Genomic DNA, 21,494 nt, shown 5'->3' with positions numbered 1-21,494 from the left:
GGCAAAACCTGGACTGGATCTCTTCCTAGTCGGTAGAAAGGGGAAAAAAAGAAAAAGAAACGTACCTATTTTCTTATTCACTTCACATCCTTTATACCGATCTGAAATGACATCAATAAACAATCTAGAAAGACAAGGTAATTTTAAGTCATTAACATGTTATTAAGCTGTATTTTTATGGAGGTAAAGGATAACGCAGTTCCAATTGTTGCTCTTAATATGTGTCCCTGACCTACTGAAACACAAAGCCAGAGTGGAAATAGTCATAGACGGGAGTTCATGGGTGGCAGAGCACAATCACGGCTCTAACTAGTTGCCTAATTTCTGTTTGACTTTGTTTTTTTCTAAAGGCACACATTACAGACTGGTAGTTCTTAATTTTTAAAGGTTTGGTTCTAGACTCAACAATTTCCCCTTTTTTTATTTCAAATATCTCATAGCCTTCGATCAGAAATCATTATGCTTAGGTTTCTAATGTGTGGAGGATCGGGAAAGCTAACAACCAGACCACAGAAGCAACAAGAAAAGGAGAGCACAAGGGTCAGAGGTGCATAAAGGGACATAATGGGGGAAGGGAGGTGATTCCTTCCCTCTCACTAGATGCCCTCACATAGTAGACTTAACATTTTCTTCCAAGTTAACATAATTCTCAAGTGGAGAATCAATCCAATTTCTTCTTCCTGTCTCCATTTACACTGATGTTCTGTGAACGGGATAAAAGTGAAAATTCAGGTTTGCCTAATTGACTTTGTTATGCTAATGGACGCACTAAAGTCAGCTGGCAGAAGTGTGTGTTGAAACCCAGAGCTCCTGAAACTACTAAGATAGTTTAATGAAAACCAAGACAAAATAATAATAATAATAGTGTTTATTCACTTACGTGGCTATGTGTCATAGGTCAGCACATTATTCACAAACTACTACAAGGTAATGCACAGTTTTGTGGAGCTCACCTATGAAGCTACACATGAAGATGTTTTCCTGATGATGATATGAATGACCAGAATGACTCATGAAGTTTAAATCTTTGAGTTTGTCATTATCATCACAACATATTAGGTACATTGTCTTCCTCTCTTTAATAAATTCCCCCTCTCCTAACCACCAAAAAGACTCTCAAGATTCAACCTCATTTAACCTTTCCAAACGCTTTAAAAATGAAGTCGACTTATTTACAGAGCCACTTTGTCTTCTTCAAACTCATAGGTCAAGACAAAACAAAACCAAAAAAAAAAAAAACAAAACAAAACAAAAAAAAAAACTCCATAGCTAAATCTTTCTGAAAACGCAACACACTTAACTTTTTTTCTCTTAAAATTTTAGCACAGTTTTTTGCTTTCACAATATTTATGCTAACTGGCAGATCTTAAATCACTGAACTTATTTTCCCTCAAGTCGGAAATCAAGATAAAATATATTCTGGTTATGTTTGTGGACAAACGGTGAGGTTGATAGGCTCAGGAATTGCAGTCAAGTTATTACTTCTGTCATATTTGACAACGTGACTTCCTTCAAACTTCTCTTTGTATCATAGTAAAGCATTATGCACTCCAGAGGAAGAGGGTAAAAACACACACTTCCTGTCCTACCACCTTATCCTGGGACTCATTGTAATTTACCCTGACTCAGTATAGCAGATAATTCATTATTTTAAATGGAGGTAAAGGAAGAATGGGTAAAAGCATAGTATATGTGGTTTTAAATTATTTGAAGATCAGCTAATTGTTAAGTATTGAATGAGCACTCAATACAACTTTATAGCACTAGACTATTGCACACCGTCCCTATACTTATAAAATGATCTTAGGATTTGTGGCAAAGATATTACATGAGACGAATGACTAAATAGATTAGTTTAATTCCATCAGGAGAGTCAAATAGTTTAGGGTAGGTTTGTGAACTCAAGTCAGACCAAAGAATTAGATAACTTGCTTTACTGGTGACCTTAACCCTGCCTGGTCCATTTGTTGAGTAATGTCACACTGTTTGCAGTGGTGTAAGAGACAAAGTCAAACATTCCAGTTAACACTGAGAGCCACAGCAGGAGCCTAGACAAGGGATTGGAATGAGAATGGAATGTTATGGAAGTTCCTGGAAGAGGCCTGACCAGACAGGAGAGAGGTCATATGGAGGAGCAGGCATCTGGTTTAGACAAAAAGGTCAGCTAATGGCTGGAATCCTAGCTGTAGTATTCATCTTGTGTGTAGTAGGAAAAAAGAATATGGATAAATGCCATACAAGAGGAAGCAAACGAGGCCAGGCACGGTGGCTCATGCCTATAATCCCAGCACTTTGGAAGGCCGAGGCAGGCAGATCACCTGAGGTCGGGAGTTTGAGACGAGCTTGACCAACATGGAGAAACCCCGTCTCTACTGAAGATACAAAATTAGCTGGGCGTGCTGGCACGTGCCTGTAATCTCAGCTCCTCGGGAGGTTGAGGCAGGAGAATCACTTGAACCTGGGAGGCAGAGGTTGCGGTGAGGCGAGATCGTGCCATTGCACTCCAGACTGGGCAACAAGAAAGAAACTCCGTCTCAAAAAAAAAAAAAAGGCCGGGCGCGGTGGCTCACGCCTGTAATCCCAGCACTTTGGGAGGCCGAGGCGGGCAGATCACGAGGTCAGGAGATCGAGACTATCCTGGCTAACACGGTGAAACCCCGTCTCTACTAAAAATACAAAAAATTAGACGGGTGTGGTGGCCGGCACTGCAGTCCCAGCTACTCAGGAGGCTGAGGCAGGAGAATGGCGAGAACCCGGGAGGCGGAGCTTGCAGTGAGCCGAGATCCCGCCACTGCACCCCAGCCTGGGTGACAGAGGGAGACTCCGTCTCAAAAAAAAAAAAAAAAAAAAAGCAAACAAATAGCATGAGGTAAACGGATACCTAGAATAGGACGATGGAAAATGGAAAGATGTAGATAGATTCTGAGGAAAGGATTGGCAGGAGTTGGTGCTTGGTTCAATACACAAGAAGAATTACTAAATATTTATTTTAAGATTGTGTCTCTGCTGGGTGTGGTGGCTCACGCCTGTAATCCTACCACTTTGGGACGCTAAGGAGAGTGGCTTGCCTGAGCTTCGGAGTTAGAGACCAGGCTAGCCAACATGGCGAAACCCCTTCTCTACTAAAAATACAAAAAATTCGCTGGTGTGATGGTATGTGCCTGCAGTCCCAGCTACTTGGGAGGCTAAAGCAGGAGAATCCTTTGAACTCTGGAGGTGGAGGTAACAGTGAGCAGAGATCACGCCACTGCACTCCAGCCTGGGAGAAAGAGTGAGACTCTGTCTCAAAAAAAACAAAACAAACAACAACAAAAACAAGACAAAAAAAAGATTGCATCTCATTAGGAAAATATGGTACGTTTAATAAAAGACAATACAACTCCTGTTTATACAGTACTTTCACATCCCAGCTGGTTTTCACAACAACCCGTTTTGGGCATCACATGAATGGAACCTCAGAGACTTTCAGTTGTAGAGAAAAATAGACACAGTCTTGAAGAGCAGCCATAGGTGACAGACGAGTCGTGCAGCCCCTGTCAGTCACATATCCCACAGCCATCGCCCTTTCTTTTTTGCTTCTCTAAGACTGATTATGTCAGGGGGCATTGTGCTCACCACCAAGGGATGAATCACAATTAGCACTTTTCCCTGGTGTAGGGGTGGGTGTAAGACCCATTTCTAGCCAATGTGATTTATGGAGATTTCTGAAAAAAAAAAAAAAAAAAAAAGTGTTTTCCCTGATTAAAGGAGCAGAAGGGCCATTTTGCCTCAGCCTCCTGCCTTCTTAGAGCTACACAGCCATCTTTTGCGTAAGAGACAAGACATTGCTAGAAGACAGACAATGACAATGGAGGGATGCAAAGAACCTTGAGTTCCTATTTGAGTCACCAAACCAGCCTTAGGACTTCCAACTTCTGGACTTCTTGTTAAATAATCAATAAATATCCTGTTGTTTACACCATTGTTAGTTGGTTATTCTACTGTTTACAAGTAAAAGCAACTTAACCTATACACCAAACTCAATGAATAATAAGAAAATTTAAAGGCAAGAGACAGTGAATAGTTGCAAAGGTAAGAAGAGAACAAAAACATTAGGTAGCATCGTGGAACCCAGGTGAGGAGATTTTCAAACATAAAACAAATTGCAGTGGACAAGAAAGAGATGGAGATAATGGTACTTGGACAATGATAAGGAAGCTTACTGGAAATTTTGAGAGAAACATTTTAGTATAGTAAACTGGGTGGATGCTAAACCACATGGAATCGTGTGTGAAGTAGGTGGAAAGAATATGGAAATACCAGGTAAAACTGATTAGAATGTGGTAACTGTATGTGGAAGGGGCAGAGAGGTAGTCAGGAATGCTTTCCAGAAGTTTCTAAAACTTCAGGGAAGAATGAGTGGACATAAAAAGAGAATGAAATCCAATATGATCTTACTGGGTTGGTTGATTTTAAATTTTTTTTCTCTTATCTGCATTTTTCATGTTTTCTACAGTAAAGATGAGTCCTTGGTTATGAGACAAAAAATATTGTTTTGACATGAATATGTCACACGTTTAACATAAATACAAATTATAGCATTTGGTTCATGTTTTACAAAATAAAAAGGTCTTACCCTATCTCATGTAAGTAAAACAATTGGCTGTTAATATGTTTCTGAATCAAATAATAACTCTGAAGTATGAAATGTCTTGTGTTAATTTTTTAAAAGCCTTGGGTTTATAAAAAAAATAAAAAGCAGAGCTACAGCAGAATTTATCATCCTTTTGCTCAGTTATAAAAATCATGAATGAAAATAATAGGTGAATTTTAGTTTTTTCTTAGTATTTTTTAGATCAAAGTAGGACAAATAACTTCAAATAAAATCTTAGGAAAACAGGAGAATGGACTTCAAGTGTCTATTCCACATCTCAGCTTGGCACAAATCAAAATCGCTTAGTTAACCTGCCTCTTGAAAAACAGGGCCTGTAATGAAAAAGCTGTCAGAAATTTAACAACAGTAGCTCTGCCAGGTGCCTGGATAATGGGAAGGTTGCTGAGTTACAGAGAAAGAAAAGGTAAACCTGGGTGAATAATGACCAGAAATGGTGAAAATCTTTCATTTCCATCTTATGGTTTATATCCAATGAAATACTAATAGTTCATTTAACATTTATTGAGCCTTAAACATATACCTAGTGCTAATATAAACCAATTAAAATTATATCTTTAGGGCAGCTGAGAACAAACTGGGTTACTAATGATCTCTTGGGGGGAAAACCAAACACCATGGGGCAGCAGATTCTTCTTGTCTTGCAATATTCTTCTAAGACTCTGAAGCCAGAACTGTTTGGCTTCAAGGAAGGGAATCATGTGATCTACTTAATCAGATTTTCTCCTAAAAGTTATGACAGGGTTTATCCAAGAGAATTGAAAGGACTCTAATTATTTAATTATGTTTAGTCTTCATATATGTCAGAAACTTAGACAATAAAAATATTCCATATAATCTTAAGATTTACTCATCGTTACCTAAAATACTACTATCAATAGTCAAGGACACAGAATAGAAAATGTATTAAGATATCACAATGATTTAAAATACTATTTTCAGGCCAGGTGCAGTGGCTCACACCTATAATCCCAGTACTTGAGGCCAGGAGTTTGAGACCAGCCTGGGCAACATATCGAAATCCTATTTCTACAAAATACACAAAAATTAGCTGGGTGTGGTGGGGTGCACCTATAATCCCAGCTACTTGGGAAGCTGAGGTGGGAGGATCACCAGAGCCTGGGAGGTCAAGGGTGCAGTGAGTGGTGACAGTGCACTGCATTCCAGCCTGGGTGACAGTAAGAGCCCATCACAAAAACTAAAATTAAATAAAATACTATTTTTAAATTTTCATATATATTAATGACCCAGGAGTCTACTCTTCATTGATTCTAAGTGATTTTCATGCCTAGAACTACATCTTAGGTATTAAATATATTTAAATATTGAGTAACCAAATATTTACTTTCAAAAATTGCTGTTAAGACTATGCCTAGGAACAATCTTGACAAATGTACTACTGGCTAAGCATCATTTCATAACATCATTAGGAAAGTGTATTGCATAGCAGGAAGAGTTTCATTTTGACTTGAAGGCTCACAATATTAATAGATGCGTTTGACAATGCCATTATTTGAAGCTCACACATTTTTGAAGTGTTTCCAAATCAGATATGTAAATGTAAGAGTGACAAAGGTGAAAAACCTATCACAAATGAATAAACTTGCATTTTTGTAGTTAATAAAAGATCGTCTAACTTTGTCTTACTTGTTATAAATTCAGATATTAATGTTATGAGAGATGATTCTGTAGCTAAGCAGTAAATTTGACATACCTGGATTATTAAAACCATGCTTCTTGCCAGTCATTATTCTGGTTGTTTGGCTTTTGTGAAGGATGAATGAAGCTTTGCATAGTTTTTGGATCATCTGGCATCATAAACAATGGCATTCCTTAAGGCAAGTGGATAACAACACAGGCTTATTCGGTAGGGAATAGCTCTTCACATGATGCTAACTTTCGTCAATGGAACATTTACTCTTTATTAAAATGGTTTCACAGATTTAAAGGCCCTGAGTTAATTATCTATCATTAATTATTTTGACCTTAAATAGGCAGTATGACAGACTTAGTTTTTGGAAAACACTGATAAAATTTTATGGGAATATTTTACGGGAAAACCCATAAAATATTGTTTTTATTTCCTACTACCTGCAGGCCTCTGCTCTTGTAACTGTTTTCTATGCAACATCAGCTTAGAAGGCACTTGCTCAGAAGGAGCAGAAAGATATAATTTTTTGATGAAGCTTTTTAAAAATTTTAATATAAACTAACATAAGAAGATGAAAACAAAAAATTAATTAGATAAACAAATTACAAAATTGTTTGACTTGTTTGATTAGAAAAAAAACAAGAAATTTTAAGATACTAATATCACTAAACCTTGCTATCTATGATGATATATTGATATGACATTACTTTTAATAATTGAAACCAATCTGAATATTCTAAAATTAAATAGCATACTCAAAGCTTTTAATTTGAGAAGTTTTCTAATAACTTCAAAATACAATAATTAAATTCATTCAATATTATTGTAAATTACCATAGATACTAGCAAAAAAAATTAGAGTGAAAATTTTGAATGGATTGTCTGCTTAATCTAGTGGTATATGGAAGTCAATAAAATTTATTTGTTTTCTTGTTATACCATAAGGCAGTATCATTTCAGTTAGCTTTTCTCTATTCATTGGCTATAGTCACATACATCCCAGTTAGAAGCCATAAAAATGACTATTGTTTGGTCATAAGAAAGGGTAGGAGAGGGCCTGGCATGGTGGCTCACGCCTGTAATCCCAACACTTTGGGAGGCCAAGGCGGGTGGATCATGAGATCAGGAGTTCAAGACCAGCCTGGCCAACATGGTGAAACCCCATCTCTACTAAAAATACAAAAATTAGCTGGGCGTGGTGGTATGAGTTTGTAGTCCCAGCTACTCGGGAGGCTAAGGCAGGAGAATTGCTTGAACTCTGTAGGCAGAGGTTGCAGTGAGCTGAGATCATACCACTGCACTCCAGCCTGGGTGACAGAGTGAGACTCTGTCTAAAAAAGAAAAAAAAAAAAAAATAGGAAAGAAAGACAGGGTAGGAGAAAACAGCCAGGTTGATGATATTAATATACCATTCTACAAAGAAAAACTCAAAAATCTTAATGGAACCAAGTCAACAACATCAGTCCGGTAACATACCAACAACCAGGCTGATTCTTTTATAATGTCTGATTCTTTTATAATGAATGTCATCTATTAGGCCATTTAAAAGAAAATATTCCATTCTTATTTACGTAGGTTCTCAAACTCCAACCATTCCCCTTCATGATTGGAGTGAATATACGTGGACATCAGAAAGACAAAGAAAATTTGTTTCTTCAACTTAGTCATCAGTATGAATAAGTACAAGAACTAAGCAATAAAATCTGCTTTCTACTAAGTCAGGAAAACAACTCTGCCATATGGCCAGACAAACCTGTGGCATATTCTTTGTCAATGCCAACATTTTCAATTAAGATTTTTATGCATAAGTGATTTTGTTTTAGTTTAGATTCCTTAAAATGATCACAAACATACTTCCATCTTCCACATTGAGGAAAGTTTCCTAACCATTGTGTGACTACATTAAGCCCAACTGTGTCACATTCTGGGTTTACAGCCTGCATAATAAATATCAACTATTAATAATTTTTAGACCTATGGATAGGAAAATAGCACTGATCTTGATCTCTATTGTTTACTGGTAAGTCAAAATCTAAGCTTAATTTTGCTGAATTTACATCAAACATGTAAGGCTGACATCCTATGTTCTTTATCAGCCACAGAGAATTCTATTGTATTTAGCTTCATATAACACATCATTGTTTTTTACTTGAAGAATATGGTCTATTTGCCTTCACAATCTGAACTCACTTCCAGGCAATCATTTTTAAAACTTGCTTCTATATTAACTTCGCACATTTTATTACATTTCAGGGGGAAATAATTAAATGTTTGTGAGAAAGCAAATCTGGTGCATATTTTTTAAGTTACTTGAAGCAAAAAAAAAAAAAAGTCTGAGCTAGCCGGTTGGAAGTTCCATGTACTAATGATCTGTTTCCAGGGAGGTGTCTGAAGCAAGCAAGCAAGCATAGAAACAGGCGGCGATGTGCCTTTGGATTTCTCCTGATGTTCATTTGCAATCACAGCCAATCAATGTTGAGGACATTACTAAGCAATCCAATGCTGTTTGCTTTTAATTGGTAAACTGTCTTCCAAAAAAAACATCTTTGGGCTTCACAACACCCTAGTCATAGAGCCATTAGAGAATGAATGTCTTTACTGTACAGGAGGACCTCTATGAATAATGAATAGGGCTCTATTTTTCCTGGGAAACAAACATGTACCGGCATGTTCGTGGTAATGAACAGTATTGTGAGTGTGCATAGCATAGAAGGACACTAAATCAGCTCTGACTTCTACCTTAATTTAAGTAGATAACTGATTTTCAAACCCCATGGAGGGTTAAGCCAGCTTATTTTAAACTTGTAACTTGCTGCCTGACTTATATGTTGCTTTTGCAAGTTCAAAAATAATGATTTAATACAAAAATTGAAGAGATGAAGGATCATGTTACAGTCTCTAAGGGGCAAGATAGGCTTACACAAATTTGAGAGGAAAAGAAAAGAACATTTGAATACAGTAAGAAACCAGAATTTCATTTTTACTTTTACACTCGAAAACATAGTGATCATGATTCTCTGGGGCACACATAAAAAATACTTTAGACTGTGCAAATTACAACCAAATTTAGATATTTGCCCAAGAAATATTTCAAAAAATAACTAACGAGAAGTAAGATCTAAGATTTTTAAATGATAATGCCCTTGCAAAGTGTTTAAAACTATTTGGCTTTTCCTTTAGAAAGATCATGAAAGAACTTAAACTATTTTGTAAATTATGTTCATAATGATTTTACTTACAAAGGATATAATTTGCTAGTCTATTTTCATAATGAATGAGAGCTTAATGAATCACACGTACTTCACCATTCAACAAAAATATAGGGCCTCACAACATTGAATTGAAATATTCATTAGAAGTCTTTGGACTTTGGCAAGAAGATTTCTAGATTTTTTTTTTCCATTTTTGCGGGCAAAGCATGTTCTTCAAATTTACTTAAAGGATTACTTAACCATCATGCAAAACTATTATGTATTGCAATTGGTAGCAGCTCAGATGGAAAATTTTATATTTGTACAATGGTCATGCATTTTCACAGGCCACAAACTCAGGTATAAGAAATGGAACCTCCTTTATTTTCCTGTAACAGAATTTGAGTTCTATTTCAGATCTCTCTTCTACTCAGTAGGAGAAAATTTTGTCTTGCCAATTCCAGGTAGATTTAGTCACATAAGAATTTTTTCAGACATACCTGCCTTCCCAGAGAGAGTTCTTTTTTCCCATGAGGATATGATGAGACAGCCAGACATTGGTGAAAACACATCAATCATCTAATTCTTGGTCATTGCTATGTTCTAGACTGGCATTCTCTGAGAAGTGGATTTTTGTCCAGTCCCTGGCTGTCTAGTCTACACTGTATCCTAGGTTGCACTACCCCTCTGTTGACCTAGACTTCCTGCACACACAAGAGTGTGTGTGAACTTCCAGTAGCGTGTTTTTTTCTTTTTTTTTTTTTCTCTCCATCTCAACTTACCTCTGCCCTTTTGTTGATTGCATGGGAAGGCTGGGTTGCCTCCTGCACCTCTCTGCATGTCCCTCACTTTGCCCCTGCATTCCTTCTGTTTCAAAGCTCCCATGTCATTGTAATACAAAGTATATCAGAGAGGCTACAGACTAGGAATGTCTCCAGATGGGAAAGTCAGAATACACATCTTTACCCAGTAGAAGCCCTAATCCCATTATGGTTCAGCCTATAGACAGGACACAGGGGAAACTCTGTCAGCTACTTGCTTCCTTCAGTATTGTCTCTCCCACTCCTCTCAGCATTTTTAGCTAGGATGGGACAAGGAAATGGCTCTTGCTGCATGTATTTTGCATTCTCTCTAATCTATTGCTTATGGCCTATACAACAGATCTTGCTTCCTTCAGATCTTAGACCTCTTGGAGCTCAAAAGAAACTTTCCTCTTTCTGAATGCTTCTAGCTCTTACAAATCAAAAGCCGTGGCTGCTAAGACTGCCATCTCTGCATTAAGTTTAAGAGAATACTTAGAAATTTAAAAGATGAGAATTGATTTGTTTGTTATCTCAGCTGACAACCCATACACTGACTAAGTGGATAGCAGTTGTCAGGACAACAAAAACATGCTAGAAGACAAAAAGTAATAGTAAATTTGTGAGATTTTAAAAATATACATATATACTACAAAAGTGGTATGTGGACAATGATTTTGAAGGAAATAACAGCTTATATTTATAAAAGTATAAGCACACGGCTGGGCGCAGTGGCTCATGCCTGTAATCCCAGCACTTTGGAGGCTGAAGCGGGTGGATCATGAGGTCAGGAGTTCAAGATCATCCTGGCCAAGATGGTGAAACCCCATCTCTACTAAGAATACAAAAAAATTCGCCAGGCGTGGTGGGGGGTGCCTTTAATCCCAGCAATTTGGGAGGCCGAGGCAGGTGGTCAGGAGTTCAAGATCAGCCTGGCCAAGATAGTGAAACCCCGTGTCTACCAAAAATACAAAAAAATTAGCCAGCTACTCGAGAGGCTGAGGCAGAGAATTGCTTGAATCCAGGAGGCGGAAGTTGCAGTGGGCTGAGATTGTGCCACTGCACTCCAGCCTGGGCGACAGAGTGAAACTCTATCTCAAAAAAAAAAAAAAAAAGAATATATATATATGTACACTTACAATATTTTCCTATCAAATAAGTCCTACGAGCAATTGTTGAGTGCACTGTGCCCCAGTAGTTAACAAACCCTGGTCTCAGGCTTTGAGCCACTCAAAGTTTAGCCTATCAGGGACCGTCAAGACCCTCTGGTGAGCTAAGTAGGAAAAAAATATGGTAAGCTTCCCTACTAGACATTACAATTGTGTTTGTCTTGTATTTTTCTGGTCCAGGGAGACATGTGTCCCACAGTTGCCTTTATCATTCAAAAAATCTAAATCAATCTGAGTCACTAAAGGTAGTTTTCTTCCATGCCAACCTCTGGCTTCTAGGGGAGTCTTACTGTCCAGGGCCCTGTCAAGAAATTTAGGGAACATGCCTTGAGAAGATACAGGGAAATTCAAGTAGCCCTTTTAATATTCAAGGTTCTATAATATGAAATGGCAGTCCCAGGGACTGATCTGACACACGTATGTGTTTTGTTGGCCTTGAAATAATTTAAAGCAGTGTCATCATTTAAAATTGGGAGATATCACAAAAGACCACCATGCCTCTGTATGACCTCTGCAATGTCAGCTGTTCCCAGGTCCCTGAATTGCACAGACTCAGACACAGACTGAAGCTGTCGGTGCTCCCAGCAAGAGACAAAAGGGAGTGACTCTCCAGTAAACCATAAACAGCACAGTCAGAACCCCAGAATGACCATACAAGAGTGAGTCCTTGAGCAATTTGAAGCCTCTGGACAACCCACGTCAAAAAGAGAGATAGAGAGACAGAGAGAAAGAGTGTGTATACATAAATATGTGCATGCATGGATAAACAAGAGAGAGTGATTATAAGCTTGGAGAGCATCCCAAATGGGAGAAATGGGTGCAATGCCTATGCAAGTCCAGGTCTAGGTTTGGGACACCATACCTAAAGGGGCACGCCAGTCCTGGTCATCTGAGATACTAGAGGAAGACAGAAAATTTTGAAAAAGACATTTGGAAACCCAGAGGACTCTGCAGTTTGGTGTAGTGAATAGGACAGGAGCTCTGATTGTCAATCTACAGGCAATACCTTCTGTGGACTCCCATTTGTACACTTGCCTCAGGTTCTGCAATGTTATGGCAGGACTGGCAGTCTTCCTCAGTCTATGATTTCAACTACACAATTTGTTGCCATTCTGACTTCTCTAAATAGACTGTTCATTCAGCCATTCATTCCCAGAATCATTATGCTAGAACTTGTTATAAAATTGTGAAACTACAGGCTGTGTCTCTGCCCTCATGAGCCTCCACTCTAGAGCTTTATTGAATTCAGATTCCTTTCATGTTTAAAATTATTTAAAAATTAAATTGGACAAGAAATAAAAGGTAGTAGAGTAAAAGGCCTCAAGAAGGGCAAACAAATACAGAGATCCTGGCTTTAACAATTTTAATCTCAAGCATACTTAAAAATGTAGGTTTGACCATTATTTCTTGAAAGGGTACCACTTCAATCCAATTAATCTATATAATATATATTTAATGAAAATATGAGCCACATTATAATTTATGTCTTGTTAATTAATAATTGGCTTCTTTATGTAATGTTCCTAAAAGCAATCAAAGCAAGGCCTGGCTGTGCTTACAATTGTGATTTTGCTACACTTTAATTGAAAGATCATTGACTCAGAAAACCAAGAAAACAAGATAGGGGAATTTGTTTTTGTTGTGAGAATTGATTACTCTGGGCCCTAGAAAAAGGTCTTACCTGTAATTGCCACTCAATTAGGATTTCAGAAACTAATAAACTTGAGACTATATAAAAAGATCAATTTAATAAATTTAGTTTGCCCACCTTAACATTCACTATCTGCTCCACATACTCATAAACTTCACTAAGACTAATAATTTTAAACCTACTGAAAATGTTCTATATGTTATGGAGAAAATTTTAATTTTTCTTTTTTGTTTTTTTGTTTTTTTGAGATGGAGTCTCGCTCTGTCACCCAGGCTGAAGTGCAGTGGTGCAATCTCGGCTCACTGCAACCTCCACCTCCCGGGTTCACGCCATTCTCCTGCCTCAGCCTCCGGAGTAGCTGGGACTACAGGTGCCCGCCACCATGCCCGGCTAATTTTTTATATTTTTAGTAGAGACAGTGTTTCACCGTGTTAGACAGGATGGTCTCGATCTCCCAACCTCGTGATCTGCCTGCCTCAGCCTCCCAAAGTTCTGAGATTACAGGCATGGGCCAACACGCCCTGCCGAAAATTTCAATTTTTCGTAATTTAACTTAGTATTTTAGCTGTCCACAAATAACAGAATATTCATCTCTTGGCTGTTGCCTTGCAAAAGAATCTGAAATTATCAGTTTTCTATTTTTTAAAATATGTTATTAATTTTGATTAATAAAAAGTAGTGGTATGATCAAGAAAATGAAGTTTAAATTAGAATAAAAAACTTATCTTAGATTTTCAGAAGAGTGTTATGGTTCAACAGGTGAGCTTCAATTTCACAAATGAATTAATGTGTGCTATTACAATTCATTTCTAAGAAATGTAATAAGTTTGCTGGGAAATGGTAAGGATCACATGTACGTGTTACTATTAGTAACACTTTCATGCATATTGAAAATATTATTTTTTCAAATTTATTTAATTGACAGATGTAATACAATTGTATGTATTTATTGTGTACAACATGCTGTTTTGAAGGATATACACATTGTGGAATAGCTAAATCTAGCTAATTAGCATATTCATTAATTCACATAGTTACCATTTTTTGTGATGAAAACACATAACATCCACTTTTAGCATTTTTTCAGCATCACTAATATAGTCACTATGCTATACAATCCATCTTGTATCCTTTGACCAACAGTCCTCAATACTCTCCCAACCATCTTAGCTTCCAGTAACCACCAATCTACTCTCTATTTCTATGAGACAATCTTTTATAGATTCCACACGTGAGTGAGATCATGTGGTATTTATCTTTCTCTGCCTGGTTTATGTTACTTAACATAATCTTCAGATTCATCCATGTTGTCTCAAATGACAGGATTTCCTTTTTTTATGTCTGAATAGTATTCCATTGAGTATATTTATAACAGTTTCTTAATCCTTTCATCTATTAATTCTCAATCCATTTATCTTAGTTTGATTCCATACCTTGGCTATTGTGAACAGTACTGCAATAAACATGGCAACACAGATATCTCTTTCATATACTCATTTCCTCTGCTTTAGATATTTACCCAGTAGTGGGACTTCTTGAAGATACAGTAGTCCTATTTTTAATTCTTTGAGAAGCTTCCATTCTGTTTTCCATATTGTTTATACTAGTTTACATTCCACCAACGGCAGGCAAAGACTCCCTTTTTCTACATCCTTGCCAACACTTATCTTTTGTCTTTTTCATAATAACCATTCTAACTGGAGTGAGGTGGTATTCTGTTGTGGTTTTGATTTGCATTTCTCTGGTTATTAGTGATGTTGAGCATTTTTTTCATATATCGGTTGGCCATTCATATGTCTTTTTGTGAGCAATGTCTATTCAGGTCTTTTGCACATTTTTAAACTGGGTTATTTGTTCTCTTGATATTGAGTTGTTTACATTTCTTATATATTTTGGATATTAGCCATTATGAGATGTATAGCTTGAAGATACTTTCTCTCATTCTGTAGGTTCTCTCTTCACTTTGTTCATGGTTTCTTTTGCTGTGCAGAAGCTTTTTAATTCAATATAATACAATTTGTTTATTTTTGCTTTTGTTGCCTGTGCTTCTGTGGTTATATCCAAAAAATCATTACTCAGACCAATGTCATGGAACTTTCCCCATGTTTTCTTCTAGTAGTTTATAGTTTTAGGTCTTACACATTTAAGTCTCAATCCCATTTTGACTTGATTTTTGTATACGATGAGAGAGAAGTGTCTAAATTGCCTTGTTCTGCCTGTAGATATCCAGTGTTACCAAAACCACTTATTAAAGAGACTGTCCTTTCCCCATTGTGTGTTCTTGGCACCTTTGTTGAAAATCAGTTGACTGCAAACTTGTGGATTTATTTCTGGGCTCTCTACTCTGTCCTATTGGTATATGTGTTTGTATTTATGCCAGCACTATGCCGTTTTCATTACTATAGCTTTAGAGTTTATTTTGGTAGCCTGATGCCTCCAGCTTTTTTTCTTTATGCTCAAGATTGCTTTGGTCATTTGGAGTCTCCTGTTGTTCCATACAAATTTTAGGATTTTTTTCTATTTCTGTGAAGAATGTCATTAGTATTTTGGTAGGGATTGTATTGAATTTGTATATCACTTTTGGTAATACAGACAATTAAGCAATATTACATCTTCCCATTTATGAAAATGGGATATCTTTTCATTAATTTGTATCTTCTTCAACTTCTTTCTTCAGTGTTTAATAATATTCAGTGTAGAGATTTATCATCTTCTTAGTCAATTTTATTTCCATGTGTGTTTTTTTTGTAGCTATTGTAAATGGAACTATTTTCTTGATTTCTTTTCAGATAGTTGGCTATTAGTGTATAGAAATGCTATGGATTTTTATGTTGATTTTGTATCCTGCAACGTTACTGTGTTTCTTCTCATATTGTGTGTGTGTGTGTGTGTGTGTGTGTGTGTGTGTGTGTGTGAAATCTTTAGGCTTTTGTATAAGATCATGTCATCTGCAAACAGGGATGATTTAACTTGTTCTAGTTTAGATTTTTTATTGTTTTTGTCTAATTGCTCTGGCTAAGACTTCCAGTACTGTGTTGAATAACGTGGCAAGAGTGAGAATTCTTGTTTTGTTCCAGATCTTAGAGGAAAAGCTTTCAACTTTTCCCAGTTGAGTATGATATTAGCTGTATGTCTGTCATATATAACCTTTATGATGTTTAGATACATTTTTTCTACACATGTGGGAACTAGTAATGTTTAAAACTTCTTAAATTAGTTAAAAAAAGAGTGGCAGTTATAACCAACATCTGTGTTGATTTCAAATATTGCTTCCTGGACTGCTAGCTCTGTGACCTGTGTAAATTAATTTCTTTAAACCTGTGAGTCTTTCTCTGGATAACCAGTTTAACTTATACCACAGGTTAATTCCAGGATTTGATGATATGAAGAATGTTGACCACCTGACACAGTTTTGGTACATAATGAGTACTTTATACTTGCATAAACAACAAGCAGTAGTATAGTGTATCATAATAAAATTTATATAAATGTCATAATTTTATGATCAGAATATGCTACAACTTTTAAAAAGTTGTTTTAAAGTATAATATATACAAAAAAGTGCACATATCCAAAGCATAGAGCTCAGTTAATTTTCATAAGTAACGCATATCCATGTCCATCTGATCGAAGCTGGACTTGATATTCTAGTGGGTAAAGTTACTTTGAAACATGCTTTCATTGCTTAATTTTGTGTTTTTGACTTTATTCTTATTCTTAAATACAGATATTTTTCATTCGTTTTAATGGTGATGGTATTCCATCAAATATCATATTTTATTTATCCACTTCCAAAATTATTGACTAAACATCATTTCTAAGTATATTTTCTCATAAGTGGAAAACAGTCATTATGTTCCTTGTTTTTAACAGTGTTAGCATCTGTCTAAACATTATCAATGACCTTTTCGTTACTGGCATCTATCTTACTTGAACTCTTTATTTGGAATAAAAATATTTATGCTTTACTATTTTAAGACACTATGTTAGAGAATGTGATCTCTATATTTTTCACCCTCAAATAAAAATAGAGCTTTTATTTACTTAAAATTAGGGAAAGTATTTATAAAAACTCACCTTAATATTTGACCATTGTGTTAGGCAGAAAAATGGTCCCCCAAAGAAATCCAAATCCTAATCCCTAGAACCTGTGAATATGTTGCCTTGCATGGCAAAAGGAGCTTTGCACATGTGATTAATTTAAGGCTCTTTGGGATGGGGAGATTATTCTGGATTATCTAGGTGGGCTTAGTGTAATCACAAGGTCCTTATAAGAAGGAAGTAGGAGGGATAGAGTCAGAGAAGGAGAGGTCAAAGTGCTGTGACCACTAGAAGGGAACCACAAATTAAGGAATGGAGGTGCTTTTGAGAAGCTGGACCACACAAAGACTGGATTCTCCCCCAGAATCTGCAGAAGGAATGCAGTCTTACAACACCTTAATTTTAGTCCCATATGACACATTGGGGCCTTCTGACCTTTAGAACTGTAAATAATTTTTTGTTGTTTTAAGCCACAAATTTTGTGGTAATTTGTTATAGCAGCAATGGAAAACACTAATACAACCATTGATCGAATTCCAGAAAATAGCAACATTAAAAGTTGCTTTGAAAATGCAAGATTGAAAGCCCTCAAAACTATCTTTGTGTTGAGTGAACATTCTAATTATGCCTTTTTCAGCATGTTGCATACCTGAAAAGCCTCAGTAAATAGACTGAATTTAAAAAAAAATCCATAGGGGACTAAATTGAGGAACAAATTTCATAGACACTAACATTTCTTTCTAGGAATTAGCTCTATAATTATCTAGCAGTAGATAGTTTTGCTCTCTTGCTCTTTTCTGTGAAGCCTATGGTTCTGATAAATGATTTTTCATCAAAGGGTCAAAAATATAATAGAACCAGTGAGGATAAAAAGTATTTTGTTAATCCTCATATTAACTTGTCCTCTGCAAACTCAATTCATGAATATATGACATTTTTTAAAGTTCGAGGTTCTCAAAGTTTTCTTATGGCAAAAAGTTTTAAAAATCAGAGCCTTCCACATTAGCTAATGAGAGAAAGTTCATAAAATCTTTTTTTCTTAAACTAAGGGGAACTTGAATGAATTATAAGAACTTCCAAAACAGAAGTTAGCAAGCATTACTAAAACACACTGGTTTATGGTGACCCCAAATACTAGGTGACCATTTATCTGGAAAGTTCCTTTTGGTTATGAAGATAGACCTCTTATGCAGGTGCTGACAGATGTAGGATAGTTTGAGTCTGCAACAGCAAACAGGATCCACCCAAGAGATCTTGTAATATCCTTGTCACCTCCATCAGAGATCCCCTCAGAGATTCTCTAGGCTGTACCTAGATTTTTTATGTTAAAAAATCTAATTTTGATAGAACTGGTCTTGCTCTCTCCATCTGATTTATCACCACCCAATCCAAAGTCTTTGTTATCTTTCTCTCTTAGCCCACATAGTTCATAGGCATGCACATGTTCTTGGACCTCCAGGAGCATTGTATAGAGAAAGAGATGGTGATCCTCTCTTCAGATGAATTTTCCACCACATCCTTACTCTACCGTCAGGGTCAGGCAACACAGAGACATTGCAACCAATCAGACATTCCTGTCCTTCTACCAGGGAAACTAATCAACCATTCATTACTGCTCAAAGGCACGTATCAAGCACATCCTAAGTGTAAGGATGTAAACATGAATAAAGGCATGCTTCTTATTCTCAAAGACTTTGTGGTCTGCTTCTCCAGAAGGTGGAATTACAGATATCATTTGTTGAGTAACTTGAATTTTCCTGCCATTTTATATACTCTTTTATCCAAATAAAATCTCTATTAAGTAAACATTATAAATCAAATTGGAATTGCTCTTATCACTGCGATAATCACAACTCAGATTTCAATGTCAAGAATGGCATCCTGACTCTCCAAAACCTTTAACTTTTTGTCTATTTCATTTTATGACTGTTTTGACTATTTTCATATTTAGAACCAGTGTAGAAGTCTGAGGATCCTGGAAAGCTGGCCACTGCCATGCTAAATTTATATGTTCATGCACATATATAACCAATACAAATATATTTATATATGTATAATGTATAAAGTGTTTTGATTTCTTGCCTTTATTCAATTTTCATGCCAAATATATCCGGTAGGCCTGGCAGCTGTGTATTTTGAACTCATTACACAAAAACTAGAAATTGTACAACTGCATTAATTTATCAGTATCTCCATTAGAAATATTTGGAAAAGAAATTATCCATGTTTTGGTAAATTGTTAGAACGATCAATGGCAAGAAACATGAATAATTGAATCTGTTATTATAATCATTACATATTAACTTTTATTTCTTATTGTTACCGGGGATCCTTGCTCCCAGAGCTCCCGAGATGGTGGCGGGCCACTTCCAAGATGGTGGCAAGCCTCGTGTCCTCTGACCTGGGGTTCTTGGCCTCACGGATTCCCAGGAATGGAATCTTGTGCCATGCAGTGAGTGTTATAGCTCTATTAGAAGCCGTGGGTCACAGAAGAGAACCGTGGAACCCAGTAACTAGTGTTCAGCTCGATTAGGATGAACCCGGGCACTTAGCCGTGCAGGCACAACGGCAAGCCTTTAGCCCGATCGGGAGCGGCAATGGGCGCCTCGCTGGATCAGGAGCACAATGGACACCCTGCCGGATCCGGAGGGATGGAAGTCAGCAGTGGGTCTGCGACTGCGGCAAACAGCAGTGGTGGACGGCCAGCAAAAGCTCAGCTCCAGCCGTAACAAACACGGACCAGAAGAGAGTGCAGTTGCAAGATTTAATAGAGTGAAAACAGAGCTCCCATACAAAGGGAGGGGACCCAAAGAGGGTAGCAGTTGCTGGCTGGAATGCCTGGGTTTATAGTCCGATCATTGTCCCTCCCGCTGTGCTCTCAGGCGATAGATGATTGGCTATTCCTTTACCTCTTGTTTTTGCCTAATTAGCACTTTAGTGAGCTCTCTTTACTACCTGATTGGTCGGGTGTGAGCTAAGTTGCAAGCCCTGTGTATAAAGGTGGATGTGGTCACCTTCCCAGCTAGGCTTAGGGATTCTTAGTCGGCCTAGGAAATCCAGCTAGTCCTGTTTCTCATTATTATAGTTGTTTTGACCACCATTTGTTTGTCTGCATGGTGCAGCAGCATCAGTGAAACGGTGAACTCTATATAGTGGTGATGGCTATTATTTCAATTTTATTTGAAATAAAATTGTCATTGTTAAATTATTTTATTCCTGCTAGACCATGAAATCAGGGATGGCAAATAGTTTTTCTTTTTTGTGCTAACTCCAACTGATTTGAAGATTACTCTGAGGTCATTTGCAGTCTTACAGAAAAAAAGTACATTGTAAGGTTAGTAATGTTTGCCATGGGAAAAAGTTAGTTGAGTGGTGGAATTTGTGCCCCATATCTGCCCTTCCAGCTCTAGATTGCTAGGAAAATAATGGTGCAGATTTTCTCCTCTAATATAAAATCAGTTTATCTATTAAGACAGGAAAAACTGATTAGCACATCTCTTTACCAGTTGCAAAAATAGAAATTCATTTTCTTTCCATAAAGAGCACTAGAAAGAAGCTTTGGGATAGAAGATTTCAGTGTTAAAAATTATTCTAATGAAATGTGCTCTGTAATTCAAAGTCGAATCCTAAATTCATGACTGAAGATCTAAGAGGTAAAAGAACAGCTATAACTCTACATTTTCAGCATGGTCTCATTGTCTTTTTTTTTTTATCATACTTTGCTAAAAGTGGGGAGGAGAAAGCCATTCATATTTTAAGAATCAGCAGTATCATAAACCATTTCTCCTGACTTAACATCTTTATAATAAAAATTCTACTATAATAAATTCATTGCTAGGTTGCGTTTTTATTACTACAATCTCCCCCATGAGTTCTCAGTTAAAAATATTCTGAGGGAGGCAGAAAAATGTCATTTGTGTCAGAACATAATTCTCTGCCTGCTGGAAAAAAAGGCATATAGTTTGTGATACTTGCCTATTATTTTTAGAGACTGATATATAAATGTATTAAAAGCAAATTTTAAAATAGATGGGAGTATATTGTATTATCAAGTTATTGCTATAAAAGTAACCATCATGAATTGTGAAGTATCTAATATTCACCTCAAGTATCTATAAAAACAACAACAAAAATGTTCCAAATTTCTAAGACAAAGAAGAATTTAAAAAATGGCATCTACTGGTATCTATTCATTATATAGTCGTTTTTCTTTTTTATTATGAAATTAAAATGTATTAAATGAATTCTGGAATCTATTTATTTGTATTGTGCTACTTCTAAAATTTGGATACATATATTCTGAGTTAAAGTGAAGTAAACAACAATAACAACAATAACAA

At 36.6% G+C, this 21,494-nt stretch overlaps 1 protein-coding gene across 1 annotated transcript in view, besides 3 other annotated features; it reads right to left on the bottom strand.

The window, feature by feature from the left end:
* Positions 1-10,219, bottom strand: part of GPC6 (glypican 6) — a 1,191,492-nt gene extending 1,181,273 nt beyond the window's left edge. Inside the window, exon 1 of the mRNA XM_047429990.1 lies at positions 66-10,219. The gene's annotated coding sequence lies outside the window, so the exon portion shown is untranslated. The remainder of the gene's footprint in view (positions 1-65) is intronic.
* Positions 1,755-2,705: an enhancer, noted in NCBI's record as "OCT4-NANOG-H3K27ac-H3K4me1 hESC enhancer chr13:93876296-93877246 (GRCh37/hg19 assembly coordinates)". NCBI's record gives its function as "activates a minimal SCP1, AML or CMV promoter by ChIP-STARR-seq in naive H9 embryonic stem cells {active_cell/tissue: H9 hESC(naive)}" and the evidence as "EXISTENCE:reporter gene assay evidence [ECO:0000049][PMID:30033119]".
* Positions 2,672-2,857: a silencer, noted in NCBI's record as "fragment chr13:93876144-93876329 (GRCh37/hg19 assembly coordinates)". NCBI's record gives its function as "represses an EF-1alpha promoter that drives an FKBP-Casp9 reporter gene in an ReSE screen in HepG2 liver carcinoma cells {active_cell/tissue: HepG2}" and the evidence as "EXISTENCE:reporter gene assay evidence [ECO:0000049][PMID:32094911]".
* Positions 8,382-8,894: an enhancer, noted in NCBI's record as "NANOG-H3K27ac hESC enhancer chr13:93870107-93870619 (GRCh37/hg19 assembly coordinates)". NCBI's record gives its function as "activates a minimal SCP1, AML or CMV promoter by ChIP-STARR-seq in primed H9 embryonic stem cells {active_cell/tissue: H9 hESC(primed)}" and the evidence as "EXISTENCE:reporter gene assay evidence [ECO:0000049][PMID:30033119]".

This window comes from Homo sapiens, chromosome 13, assembly GCF_000001405.40.
Source record: "Homo sapiens chromosome 13, GRCh38.p14 Primary Assembly".
Classification (NCBI taxonomy): domain Eukaryota; kingdom Metazoa; phylum Chordata; class Mammalia; order Primates; family Hominidae; genus Homo; species Homo sapiens.
This window is presented reverse-complemented; position numbering and strand designations above follow the sequence as displayed.